This window comes from Homo sapiens, chromosome 17 (assembly GCF_000001405.40).
Source record: "Homo sapiens chromosome 17, GRCh38.p14 Primary Assembly".
In the NCBI taxonomy this organism is placed as follows: domain Eukaryota; kingdom Metazoa; phylum Chordata; class Mammalia; order Primates; family Hominidae; genus Homo; species Homo sapiens.
In genome coordinates this window covers 18549412-18563404 of record NC_000017.11, presented here as the reverse complement: position 1 = coordinate 18563404, position 13993 = coordinate 18549412, and the positions used below count along the sequence as shown (strand labels likewise).

The 13993-nt window shown below is 39.1% G+C and overlaps 1 pseudogene across 1 annotated transcript in view; it reads left to right on the top strand.

Annotated features, from left to right (window-relative positions):
* The window catches only part of CCDC144BP (coiled-coil domain containing 144B, pseudogene), an 87818-nt pseudogene that overhangs the window by 62213 nt on the left and 11612 nt on the right, over nucleotides 1–13993 (top strand). The window contains exons 13-15 of the transcript NR_036647.1: nucleotides 9139–9432; nucleotides 10032–10252; nucleotides 11690–11899. The product of NR_036647.1 is annotated as a coiled-coil domain containing 144B, pseudogene (transcript). The remainder of the gene's footprint in view (nucleotides 1–9138; nucleotides 9433–10031; nucleotides 10253–11689; nucleotides 11900–13993) is intronic.

The window sequence follows — 13993 nt, the reverse complement described above, 5'->3', positions numbered from 1 at the left end:
CTGAGGTGGAACAGTTCCATCGCAAAACTATCCCCACCCCACCGTCTGTGGAAAAATTGTTTTCCACAATGCCAGCACCTGGTGCCAAAAAGGTTGGGGACTGCTGTTGCAGAGGGAGCACACCTGGCTCCCACACTGGCATATGAACTTGGGCCCTCTCTTCTCGGCATTGTGAGAGAGAAAGCTACTCCTCTTCTTGAGCTCAGGCCACAGACACCAGCTCAGTATACTTGAGCAGTGTGCTTGAATCCGGGGGGTATTGAGACCAGGTTCATGACTTTGTCTTCTGGTCTCATGGGGTTGAGCTTTGGCTGTGCTGAGGGTGGGGGCTGAACTGCTCCCAGGCCTCCGGCAAAGCACTCAGATGGGGCAGTGGAGGCTGTGCTGTGTGCTTACCCTTGCGTGAGTAGCTAGGCAGGGGCCTTGGGAGGGGCTGGTGGACAAGAAGGTACACAGACCAGATATGCTGCAGTCCCATGGTAAATGCAGCCCTACTGTCTTCTGGCCTGGCAGTAAGCAGGAGCTAGAGTCACTCAGAGCAAGATGGAGAGCCTTGGGGGATGGGTGCCTATGGTCATGTTTTGCTGCAGCCGTACCAGGTGCGAAACCTTCTGGGCTGTATGCGGGTTTGAGCTGTGCCTCTGCCTATTCGCCAGCCGGTTCCTCTTGCCAGTTCAGATGTCTGTGTGGGTCCAGGGATCTCCGGGAGCTAGTATCCCAGAGTTCGTTGGTGGGAGTGTGGTGCTGCACAGTTCCTTCACCCACCCCTTCCTTAGTTTCTGGATTGGGAGGTAATCCTAGTGCTTGGTGACTCTGTGCAGGCTTCCCAGATTTATTCCTCTTCAGCCTTGATGCCTGCATTACCTATCAAATTTCAGTGTTTTCTCTCCAAAGACCTACTCCAAGTGTGATAATTTACTTGATATTTTGGTTTCTCTCTCGCAGAGAGGCATCTCCTGGCTGCATGTGGTGACCATCTTGTCTTCCCCTAAAAACATCAAAATTGGTATTTAATAGAGCTTGCGTTCAATCTGTAGACTGCTTTCAGTAATAAGGTCATTTAACCAATATTCTTCCAGTCCGTGAGCATGCAATATCTTTCCATGTTTGTGTCCTCTACAATTTCTTTTGTCGGTGTTTTGTAGTTTTTTTTTTTTTTTTATAAAGCTCTTTACAAAATCTCTCTGGTTAACTTTATTCTGAGCCATTTTATTATTTTGTAGCTAGAATAGTGGGACGGCCTTCTTGATGTCTTTTTATGCTAGTTGATTATTAGTGTATAGAAATGTTACACATGCTATTGGCATTATTTTTGTATGCTGATTTTGTGGCCTGCACCTTTGCTGAATTCTTTAGTTCTAACAGGCTTTTTTGGTGGCGTGTTTATGGTTTTCTGTATATGAGATCAGGTCATGTGCACAGGGAGACAATTTGACTTTCTGTTTTCCAATCTGGATCCCCTTTATTTCTCTGACAATTTTTGTATCTGCATCCTTCAGGGATACTGGCATGTAGTTTTCTTTTGTTGTTGTGTCTTTGTCTGGGTTTGGCCTTAGAGTAATACTGACCTTTAGAATAAACTAGGAAGATTTTGGAATAATTTATAAAAAATTGGTGTTAGTTTTTCCTTAAAAGTTTAGTAGAATTCAGAGTAACTTACCCAGTTTTAGACCTTTCTTTGTTGGTAAACTTTATTACTGATTCAATTACATTACCGTTATTGGTCTGTCCAGGTTTCCTTTTCTTCTTGGTTCATTCTTGCTGGTTATGCACTTCCAGGAATGTATCCATTTTCCATACGTTTCCAGTTTGTTGGCATATAGTTGTTCATAATAGTCTCTCATGACTCCATGTATTTCTTTGCTATCTCCTTTTATGTTTCCCTCTTTATTTACTTGAGTTTTCTCTTTTTTCATGTTTAATATAGTTTTCAGTTTTGCTTTATTAGTCTACCTCATTCAGTTCTGCCCTGCCTTTATCATTTCTTTCCTTCTACTACATTTGAGTTTTGGGTCTGTTCTTGCTTTTTTGGTTTCTTCAAGTGTATTGTTAGGTTGTTTATTTGAAGTCTTTCTCTTTTTTGGATGTAGCTGTTAATTGCTATAAATTGCCCTCTTAGTGCTTCTTCTGTCACTTTCTATAGGGATTGATTTTTTTCCCCATTTTCATTTGTTTCAAGATATTTTAAATTTTTTTTCTTAATTTATTGATTGGCCCAGTTGTTCATTCAGGAGCATGCTGTTTAATTTCCATGCATTTGTACAGTTTACAAAGTTTTTGTCGTTACTGATTTCCATTTTTATTCCATTGTGGTTTGAGAAGATATTTGATATGAGCTTTTAAACTCAATATATGGTCTATTCTGGAGAATGTTCTATGTGCTAATGAGAAGGATGTGTATTCTGCAGCTTCTTAATACAGTGTTCTGTAAGTGTCTGCTAGGTCCATGTGGTCTATAGTGCAGGTTCATTTCGATGTTTCTTTGTTGATTTTCTGTTTAGATAATCCCTTCAATGCTGAAAGTCAGACTATGGAGTCCCCATCTATTATTGTACTGGAGGCTATCTGTCTCTTTAGTTTCAGTGATGTTTGCCTTATATATCTGTGTGCTCAGGTATTGAGTATATATACCTTTATGACTGCTGTATCCTCTTGCTGAATTGATCCTGTTATTATTATATAATGCCCTTCTCTTTCTCTTTTATGTTTTTTTTTTTTTTTTTTACTTAAGATCTATTTTGTCTCATATAAATATAGCTACTCCTGTGTGCTTTTGGTTTCCATTTGCATGGAATATCCTTCCATCCTTTCACTTGCAGTCTATGTGTCTTTACAGGTAAAATGAGTTTCTTGTAGGCAGCGTATTATTTGGTCTTTTTTTGTAATCCATTCATTCTATCTATATCTTTAATTGGGGAATTTAAATCACATATATTCAAAGTTTTTATGATAGGTGAGGACTTACTCCTTTCATTTATTAATTGTTTAGTGATTGTTTTGTCTATCATTTGTTCCTATCTTCCTCTTTTATTGTTTACCTCTACAATTTGCTGATTTTCTGTAGTGATAATGTTTGATTCCTTTCTCTTTTTCAGTTCTGTAACTGCTCTACCAGTGAGTCTTACAGTTTTTTGATTTTCATGGTGGTAGACATTGTCTTTTTGCTTCCAGATTGAGGACTCCTGTAAGCATTTCTTGTAGGATCAGTCTAGTGGTGATGCATTCCTTCAGGTTTTGCTTGTCTGAGACGTTATTTCTTTTTCAGTTTTATTTATTTATTTATTGGAGACAGAGTCTCACTCTGTTGCCCTGGCTGGAGTTCAGTGGCATGATCTCAGCTTACTGCCACCTCTGCCTCCCAGGTTCAAGCAATTCTTGTGCCTCAGCCTCCTGAGTAGCTGGGACCACAGGCATGAGCCACCATGCCTGGCTAATTTTGTATATTTTTCGTAGAGACAGGGTTTTGCCAAATTGGCCAGGCTGGTCTTGAACTCCTGAGCTCAAGCAATCCCCCCACCTTGGCCTCCCAAAGTGCTAGGATTACAGGGATGAACCACTGCACCTGGCCCCTCTTTTTCAGTTTTAAAGGATAGCTTTGCTAGGTATAATATTCTTGACAGGCAGTCTTTTTCTTCCCGCATATTAAATATATCATGTCATTCTCTCCTATCCTCTAAGGTTTCTGCTGACAAATATGCTATTTGATATGGATTCCCTTGTATGTGACTTGGTGTTTTTCTCTTGCTCTTTGTCTTTGACTTTTGACATTTGACTCTGATGTGCCGCAGAGAAGACATTTTTTATTGTATTTCTTTGGGGATCTTTGAGACATCTGTATCCAGATGTTTACATCTCTCACAAGACTTGGTAGTTTTTCAGCTATTATTTCATTAGATAGGTTTTCTGTGCCTTTTCCCATCTCTTCTATTTCTGCAACTCCCAATATCCGAAAAAATTTTGGCTCATGATGGCCCATATATCACATACACTGTCTTCATTCTTTTTATTTTCTTTTTTTTTCTTTTTGCTTTTTGTTTGCCTGGCCTCATATAAAGACCTCTCTTCAAGTTCAGAAATTCATTCTTCTCCTTGATCTAGTCTATTGCCAACATTCTCAGTTGTTTTTATTTTATGTATTGAATTCTCAGTTCCAGGATTTCTGCTTGGTTCCTTTTAATGCTATCTTTTTCATTGTTGAATTTCTTATTTAGATCATAAATTGTTTTCCTGATTCATTTGTATTACCTATCTTTCCTATCAGGAATCTTTCCTGATTCCTTTGTATTATTGTGTATCTCACTATGTTTCCTTAAGATCATTATTTTGAATTTTATAGGTTTTGTTTTCTTTGGGATCTGTTACTGGAGAATTACTCTGTTCCTTTGGAGGTGTCATGTTTCTTTGATTTTTCGTACTTCTTGTGTCCTTAATGTTGATACCTGTGCAGCTGGTGTAACAGTCACTTCATCTAGTTTTAGGGGTTGACTTTTTTCTGTAGATGTATCTATGTTGTTGGTTGAATATGGTGCTCTGGCATTGATGATGGGTGGGTGCATTGGTGTGGTCTCCATATACTTATGCTTTCTTCTGCTGTAATCAACATCAGCGTCTGTAAGTTCCTCAGTGGCTTACGGTGTGGTTGTTAGTAGCAGGGGATGCTGTGGTGAGGCCTTGATGTTGATGGGGAGGACAGCAGGCCAGTCCTCAGGCACATTGATGGCATACACAAGGATGTATGTGTGATTGGCAGCACCAGGCCATGCTTCCCAGTTTTTGGTGGCAGTGGGTTACCTGAGTGGGCTGGCCCTTGGGCCTCCAGGTGGTGTGTGCTGGGATCAGAGGTGGCAATAGCAGGCCAGGCCAAAGGACCTTGGTGACACTTGTGGCACTGGAGATGACAGTAGCAGCTGGGGGCCGGACCTTGGATCCCTTGGTAGCATGCATGGGCACTGATAGTGGTGAAAGCAGGCTGCATGGGCATTTCTCTGGCCCCCTGTGAGGAACATTTAGGTGGGTACCTAAGGCAGTGTGTGGAGCAGGCTTGTCCACAGGTTAACTGAAGACACGTGCAGGAGCCTTTGCCAGTGGCTGGTGAGGCAGCCCTGTCTTTATGCTCCTGGATGCCATGTGCAGGTGCCGGTGGGGCAGTAGGACTCTCCTTGGTATTAGTGGTAGACGGGGCCTGGGTAAAGGCACAGAGGCCTGGGTGGGGTGGGCTGCTCCTCAGGGTCCTGGACAGTGTATGTGAGCACTGATAGCAACAATAGCAGCAGCAAGCAAAGTGGCCTTGTCTTCAGGCTCTCATATGGCTCACATGGGCGCCAACCCTGGTGGGTTTGACAGGCTTGTTCTCAGGCTCCTGCATGGTACACTTGAGTGGGCCAGTCCTCCGGCCTCCTAAAGGTATGTACAGGTATGCACAGCACTGCCCCTGAAGGGGGTAGGGCTGCTGGTGGTGGCAGTGGTGTCAGTCAGGTGGCTCCTAGGCTCTAGACAGCACACACTTAGGATCCCTTTGACCTAGAGTAGTTTCCCTGGTGGGCTATTAGGTGACCACCTATTTCCACAGGTATATGGTTCTGTGGGGCTAGGGATTTGGGGGAATCGGTCCTGGTTTTGAGATGATCCTGGCTGGGCTGGCTACCTCAGTTCCCTTTCCTTCTGTCATCAGAGGATCCCTATCAATTTCCTGCTGAATTCCAGTATACTCTCTTTGATGTTTTCCTCAAGGTGTGGTTACCTGCTTGCTGTTTTGGTTTTTCTTTTTGAAAGAGGTGAGTGCTGGGTATTCCCAGTCAGCCATCTCGATGATGTCTCTGTCTATGCTGTGCATATTAAGGAATGTATAGACATGTTTTAAAACCTGCACAATTGACCCTATAACTATAATTTAAAAGATTTCTACAACTTGAAAAACACACTAATTTCTAATTATTACCTCTCACCCCACACACAGGTTTTATTTAATATGGCAGCAGACTCAGGCTTAAAGTGCAAGATCCTAACCTCCCACCACACACACACAAGTTTCATTTAATATGGCAGCAAGCTCAGGCTTGAAGTGCAAGATCCTACCATCTTTATCACAGCCGGTAGGGATGCACCCTGGGTTGTGGTTTCTGCGGTATAACCCCTTGAGTGCATTTCTTGTCAACACAAAGACGTAAGAACTAAAGGGACAACTTGTCTACCACTCACCCACCCAGCGTTCTCCTAAACTGCCAGAGACCCTCCTATTGAACAGAGAGAAAATGGGAGTCACAAAGGGAATATTAGACCATAGAAATTCTGAAATACAGCCTGATGTGTGCTTCCACTTACTTGATTTGGACTTCATGGGAACCATACTCTGTGGCTTTTTGTGGTACCTTCTTGGCTCTTTGTTGTATCCTTTTCATAAGCAATGACCTGTGTTTTCAGCTAAGTAGTTTCTTCAGCCAGCTTCCTCCCTGTAGAAGCTCTTAGGTCCTAAGGCCTCTTTTCATTTTTACTGTCTTGTTGTCTTTTAAGCCAAGCTAGCAAGCAGTGCTATTGTTACTATAATTCTCTTAGAGTCTCTTGTGAATTTTACTTGAGTTCTTGTCATTGGAAAAACCACTTGTCCCAATCTCTTTGAGATAAGCACTTCACCTTGTGCTTCCTGTGAAGGAAGCACACTGTTCTGTGTAGTAGGACAGTGCCTTAAGATGCGTATACCCTTAAGATCTTTAAGGGAATTTGAGGCACCGCCTTAAATCTTTCTAAGGTCTTAAAATAGAGCCTTACACTGACAGTCTTGGCTTCACCTTCAGACTTTCTCCTGGCAGCACCCTGGATTTGATCTTATCTCAGAGGCCATTTATCTCAGCAATACAGATGCTCCTCAGATTAGGATGGGTTTATGTCTGGATGGCATTTGCATTTGTTATGTCTGATATTTGCAATTTATAGGCCATCATAAATTGCAAATATCAGAAGTTATGGGTGGGTTTTCCATTTACGATAATTTCCATTTACAGTGACTTTATCCTGATGTAACCACCCCTGTAAGCCAAAAGGCTTACACATATCATTTCATTACTCAACACATATCATTTTCACAGTATTATAAAAAGTCAGAAAATGGTGAGTCGAACCATGCTAAGTCAAGGACTGTCTATATTTGGGAATCTGACATGTGGAGAGGCTATAAAAAGGATACTGAACCTAGAAAGTCCTGGTTCTTTTATATGTAGTAGTCTTTCTTTAGCTTATCTCTTGCATTGGTTTTACTTTCAGCGGCTGTGTAGTAACAGTGCCCTTTCCTTCAGGTTCCCGTATCGTTTTCTTCACTATCCTTGAAGCCCTTCCTACCAGCTTCTTCGAGGACCATCAGGCTTCCACTAACAGTCTCTTTAAAACTCTTCTTGTTTTTGTGCTTATTCTTCTGTAGGTCCTTTTAGCTTCTGATTAGCTCCTGGTCCAATGGTAGTCCTACATGTTTTAGTAGTTTTTGTTGTGTTGTTGTTGTGCAATCTATATGTAGTGTCAATATCTGTATCAGTTATTTCTTGGTATATAAAAAAATGCAGTGTCTCAAAACAACATCTATTTTGTTCACAATCTGCAGTTTTAGGCAAGGCTCAGTGGGGCCAACTCACTTTCTCTTTACTTGGCATCAGCTGAGGTGACTTAAAGCTGGGGACTAGAATCATCTAAAGGCTTGTTTATTTACCTGTGCGGCATTCGAAGCTGGCTTTTGGCTGGGACGTTAGGTAGGGAAGTCAGCTCGAACACCTACCTACATGAGGGTTCACGGTGTGGTTTGGGCTTCCCCACAGCATGTTGGCTGCATTTTAAGGACAAGCGTCCCTAGAGAGAGAGTCAGGTAGAAGCTGTGTGACTTTTTGTAACCAACTTTAGAAGTCACACAGCAGTTCTGCCACATTGTGTTCCGGAGAAACCGGTTGTCAATGCCAGCTTGTATTCAGGAGAGGGAATGTCATGGGAGAAGTGGCAAGCAATTTGTAGATGTTTTAAAACCACCACTTCACTTACCTTTATAAAATAAAAAACAATCATAATTATGTCCTCTAAAGGAAAGCAGTTATTTCCAACTCAGCACCACTGAAATTTCAGTGCAATTTTTTGTTGTCATTCTTTAATGTGCTCCCTTATTTTGTGTAAAGTAACAATGAATTACAAGATTGTGCTACTGAATTAAGGCATTTTTCTTCAGAAAAATGGTATGGATCATGCCACTGAACTTTTATACTGGGAGATGTGATTGCTTCTTAACTCCAAGTATCATTACTCTTTGAAATGTAACTCAAATTAGCGTAAGACATTTGCAGTTCAGCAAAAGGCTTATGGTATTGGAATCCTTTTTTTTTTTTCAAAATGTATTAATTAGAGTCTTATTTTCAGAGTCTTATTATGGGAGCCATTTATTGACTCAGGCCCAAATAATTCAATATGATGCCCCTAAAACTTCTCTGCAAATTATGGAGAATGATAGTGGGTTAAAGGAATAAGAGACTTTGTGCTAAAGGGGTAACTTAGAGCCATTTTAAGGAGGAAAGCCATGAAACAATCATAGGAAAACAGAAGTCTAAGATCAAGTCCAAATGTTGTGTGGCAAAGATGATGAAAGTAAAGGATGTATTTTTGTGAATTCTGGTGGTTTTAACTTTGTTTTTAATTTTCTGAGTAATCCAAGGGTCTGTATTTTATGAATCTACAACAGTATAGGTAACATTTTATTGCAACTGAATTTATTTCAAAAATTATTAGTTTTGGCTGGGCGCGGTGGCTCACGTCTGTAATCTCAGCACTTTGGGAGGCCGAGGCGAGTGGATCATGAGGTCAGGAGATCGAGACCATCCTGGCTAACACGGTGAAACCCCATCTACTAAAAATAAAAAATAAATAAATAAAAAAATTTAGCCAGGGGTGGTGGTGGGCGCCTGTAGTCCCAGCTACTCCAGCTACGCAGGAGAATGGCCTGAACCCGGGAGGCAGAGCTTGTAGTGAGCCGAGATCCCGTCACTGTACTCCAGCCTGGGCGACAGAGCGAGACTCCATCTCAAAAAAAAAAAAAAAAAAAAAATATTAGTTTTTTGTTAGACCATTCTCAGTCTACCTTCTTCATTACCAAACTATATTGTTTTACTCATGCAGATTGACCTTACAGAAGCACAGGAAACTGTACCTTCACGATGTCTACATCTGGATGCAGAGAATGAAGTTCTTCAACTTCAACAGACATTATTCTCTATGAAAGCAATACAAAAGCAATGTGAAACACTACAGAAGAATAAGAAGCAGCTGAAACAAGAAGTAGTAAACCTCAAAAGTTATATGGAAAGAAATATGTTAGAACGTGGTGAAGGTGAACGGCATAAACTGTTGATTGAAGAAAGAGCAAGGAAGGAGATACAAGAAAAATTAAACGAAGCCGTTCTCACCTTGCAGGTTGGTTCATTTATCTGTAATGTGCTTTCATTCATTTCACTGCAAATTTTATTTTGGATATATACATTGTACATGTTTTCTCTACTTTCCTTACAGCAATTTGTTTGGTAGACTTCTAGAAGGAAGGTGGTATTTGTTTCTCCATTTAAATATTTTCGTTTCCATCATTCTTATAACTAAATTGATCTTCCATAAGAATAATTCTCACTAGAGAATCATTTAATTACTAAAGCCAGTTGGCATAAAACAAGACTAATAGAAAAAGTAAAAAAAAAAAAAAATTGTGATTTAGAAATTATACCATACTCTTGAACTGCTTTTAAGTTACGTTGTTCCACTTTTAAAATTTTAACTTGGTTCTGTCATTCTTTGGAGAATTGTTCAACAATTCAGATTCAGTTATTAATTCAGTTGGTACTGGTGATAAATATGTTAAGCTTGAGCTTCTTTCTTTCTTCACATTTTTCTTAAAATTGTTCTCTGAATCACATACTTAAAATTGTTCTCTGAGTCACTGACTCCAAACAAAAGGAAACAAATACACAGTAATTATTCAGGTTATAATTACTTTTAAAATGTTCCCTTTTAATTTATTTTAGAAACAAGCAGCAGTATCTCATGAACAGTTAGCACAGTTAAGGGAGGATAATACTACTTCAATAAAAACTCAGATGGAACTCACAATCAAAGATCTGGAATCTGAAATCTCCAGAATAAAAACTTCGCAAGCCGACTTTAATAAAACCGAATTGGAAAGATATAAGGAACTCTACCTAGAAGAAGTAAAAGTTAGAGAATCCTTGTCAAATGAACTCAGTAGGTAAGTCAATATGCAGAATCATAGAAAATAAGTTAAGCTCATTAATTTGCCTTCAAAAGCATGACTTTTAGTGAGACAGGTTCATGAGATTTGTGGGAAGTGAAAGCTAACTAGATCATACAATTTTGGAAAATTGTAAATTATAAATAGTAAATGAACTTAACCTTTAAGTAAAATTGAAAATAGTAAATGAACGTAACCTTTAAAATCTTTAGTCCAGGACAGTTCCTGTCTCTCCTGTTTTTTGGTTTTATGTGGCTTCCCCCCACCCCTTAATATTCTTATATAGTTAACCTGATCTATTAGGGTTTCAGCTAAATATTTATGAAGCTTCATAATTTAGACAGTGATACCATTATAAAAATTGCTTGTCAGTATTCCCTTAATTCAAAATATTAATGAATTTAATTAATTTCTGGAAGACGACAGCTGAAAACCGAAAGGGTCAAGTACGACTACTCTGGACACATTCTGGCACTCAGTAAATTCACTTTGCTTGATTGTGATCATTAGAGGGTGCCTTGAGAAGAAGTGTCCTGTATAGTTTTTCCAATCCACATAAAGGCACACTTGTGAAGCAGAGAATGATCAACTAGGGTTGAAGGGAAGTATAACTTACTAAGTGATAAAAAATAACACCTTGGTCAGCCTGAGGGGGTATATGGAAGACAGAAAGGGCAGGCCCCACCTCTGATACATGGGCCACAGTGTTAGGAGCTGATTGTCCTCGATGCTGCTTTAGTTCTCTTTGATTTCAGCAGTCTTATTCTCCCCAAGGAAAAGTCGCCGTGAATGATTCCTCAGTGCCAAATGCTCAATTTTTTCCAGATAATGGGTGAAATATACAAGGGTGGTGAAAACAATTGTTTGAAAATGTCTTTGAGAGAGAGTTTTTTAGACAATCTCTAACAACATGTATTGTTTACTAAATACAAGTATTTCTAGCTTTTATTTTTACTTTTAGTTTTTTTCTTGTATATATTTAAGGAGTACAACTTGATGTTTTGATATATTTATACGCAGTGAAATGGTTATTTTGTCAAGCAAATTAATATCTTCATCATTTCACATAGTTACCCTTGGAATACAAGTAATTCTAATGGCATCCTTAAGAATCGTATAAGTAGAGTCATTCCAGATGGGCAACAAGTGTTAACTATGAAGCCATACATCATTGATAGTCTTTTCTGTCCCCTCCCTCTCTTTGAACTACTTGTTTGTTAGAAATCCCTCTAGAAATAGATGTACTTCTTTAGAACAATGTTAAAACTATAATTGGATACAGTAGGCATGCTCTAACACATTTTCAGAGTTAAAACACGGCCTATGGTATATTCCATTTACTCTTAATGGCAACTTTTAGAACAATCGAAGTCATTTAGGAATCATTTAGGAAAAAATGAAATACTAAGCATTTGTCTTTTTCAATCTTCGTAGAACTAATGAGATGATAGCAGAGGTCAGTACGCAACTTACTGTGGAGAAAGAGCAGACCAGATCCAGATCTCTATTCACTGCTTATGCTACAAGGCCAGTCCTAAGTCACCTTGCGTTGGAAATCTTAATGATAGTGAAGGTCTCAACAGAAAACATATTCCAAGAAAAAAGAGGTCTGCTCTTAAGGACATGGAGAGCTACTTGTTGAAGGTTAGCTATCTTTTTTCCTTCGGCGTTCAGATTTCTGATAGAATTCTTGTGTGTTATTTGGTAAAATACTCAGTTACTTAATTGTCTTGTGTATGGTAAGTAAAAGTAATAATTACCTGTGTTAATAAAGAGAGGAGACAGAAATTTTACAGTTATTTTTAAGTCTCTGGAGCTCTCATTCATAAGAGATTACTCCTTTGTTAACTTTATTTAATAAATGTAACCAAACTGACACATTTTAAATTTTTTTAAAAACTGCATTTAAGTTAGATTTTAACCAAAGGTTTACTTTGATGTGCTTTGTCTTACTAATTGATTTTAGTTTGTCTGGGGTTCACTTTTAATGGTTTAGTGTGCCTGGGGTCACTTTTAAAGTTTTTCTGCATCATCTCAGGTTTTCTACCCGTCATCATATGTGAATGATTGGTGTCCAAACACTAACCACCCATGGATGTTTATTATTTAAAAGGACCCAAGGTGAATACTTTTGTATGTTATATAAACCTGCAACACTTGATTAATCTGTTCTTTAAGTTCAAAGTTTTGTGATTTTCTTACATGAGTACATCTGTAATTGCTATTGCACTTAATAGTGTTTTAATCCCAATTTTAGTAAAATGTGTCTATTGCTATGCAATAGCACAGTGGTTTTGAAATAGTTAAATCAAATAAATATTTGAATTTTTAAAGTAAAGCTCACATAAGTTTTGTCTCTCTACCTGGCCATAACTTTAGTAATTGATGACTAAGATGGCAATGGTATCTAGAGTCCTTCAATAGCAAATGTGACCAAACAGAATCAGTTCTATTCTTAATACCCCAAATTCCATGTAAAGCTGCACATGGACATCTCCCCTGGACATGTAACAGGAACCTTTTAGTTCAACCGTGTGGTTTCACTCAGAGTAAGAGTCTATTTCTGGGGATTTCAAAATGGATCCAAAAATGACGAGCTGTATCAACTATAGAGTTGGTAAGGAAAAAAAAAACAAAACGTAGTTCAACTATGCTTGACCCAGATTAAGGTATTTGTCTAACATTTGTCCATTTTTCAACTGAGGGAAAATTACAAAAACTGGGCACAGTGGCACACACCTGTAGTCCCAGCTGCTCCTGAGGCTGAGGCAGGAAGATCACTTGAACCCAGGAGTTCAAATCTGCAGTGCGCAATGATTATTCCTGTGAGTAGCTACGGCACTGCAGCATTCCAATCTGGGCAACATAGCAAGATTCTGTCTCTTAAAAAAATTACAAAATCCGTAAAACATTTGTTTGAACAACAATAAATAGTTTTCTTTGTGTATATTGTTGTTTTTAAAATTTTCCATCGATGCACATTGGCTTATAGTTTTGATGTTTTTATGATCTCCTTAGCGCACAGAAAAGTAGCACAGGCCCACATGGAATGAACCTCAACCTTGTTGTGTTTACCTGGCTATTTCGTGTCCTAACAAATCATAGAAGAGCAAATCTAAGGTTTCTTAGATAGCATTGTGGCTAAATAGCTTAAAAGAGAATGCATTAAATGATTGTTTTAATACATAGATTACAAGAGCCCAGCTAGCTGATATTTTTAATCATATTGTTCGCTTAGGTTTTATTTTTCTGAAAAAAATGAGATGATCAGCATCCAAATGCCTCAGTCACGAAATTGTACCACTGGGTACTAATGGGAAATGAATGTTAAATACGTCTGTCAATGGTTAAGCAAGATGCAAATATAATGTTCTCATTAGTACTATGAACCCCCCAAATTTGAGACAAGTCTCAATTAATTTAGAAAGTTTATTTTGCCGAGGTTGAGGACACACATCCGTGACACAGCCTCAGGAAGTCCTGATGACATGTGTCCAAGGTGGTTGGGGCACAGCTTGGTTTTATACATTTTAGGGAGACATGAGACATCAATCAATATATTTAAGAAGTACATTGGTTCACTCTGGAAAGGCGGGACAATTTGAAGCAAAGGGAGGAAGACTGGTGGCGGGGAGGGGGCTTCCAGGTCACAGATAGGTGAGAGACAAACAGTTGCACTCTTTTGAGTTTCTGATTAGCCTTTCCAAAGGAGACAGTCAGATCTGCATTTATCTTAGT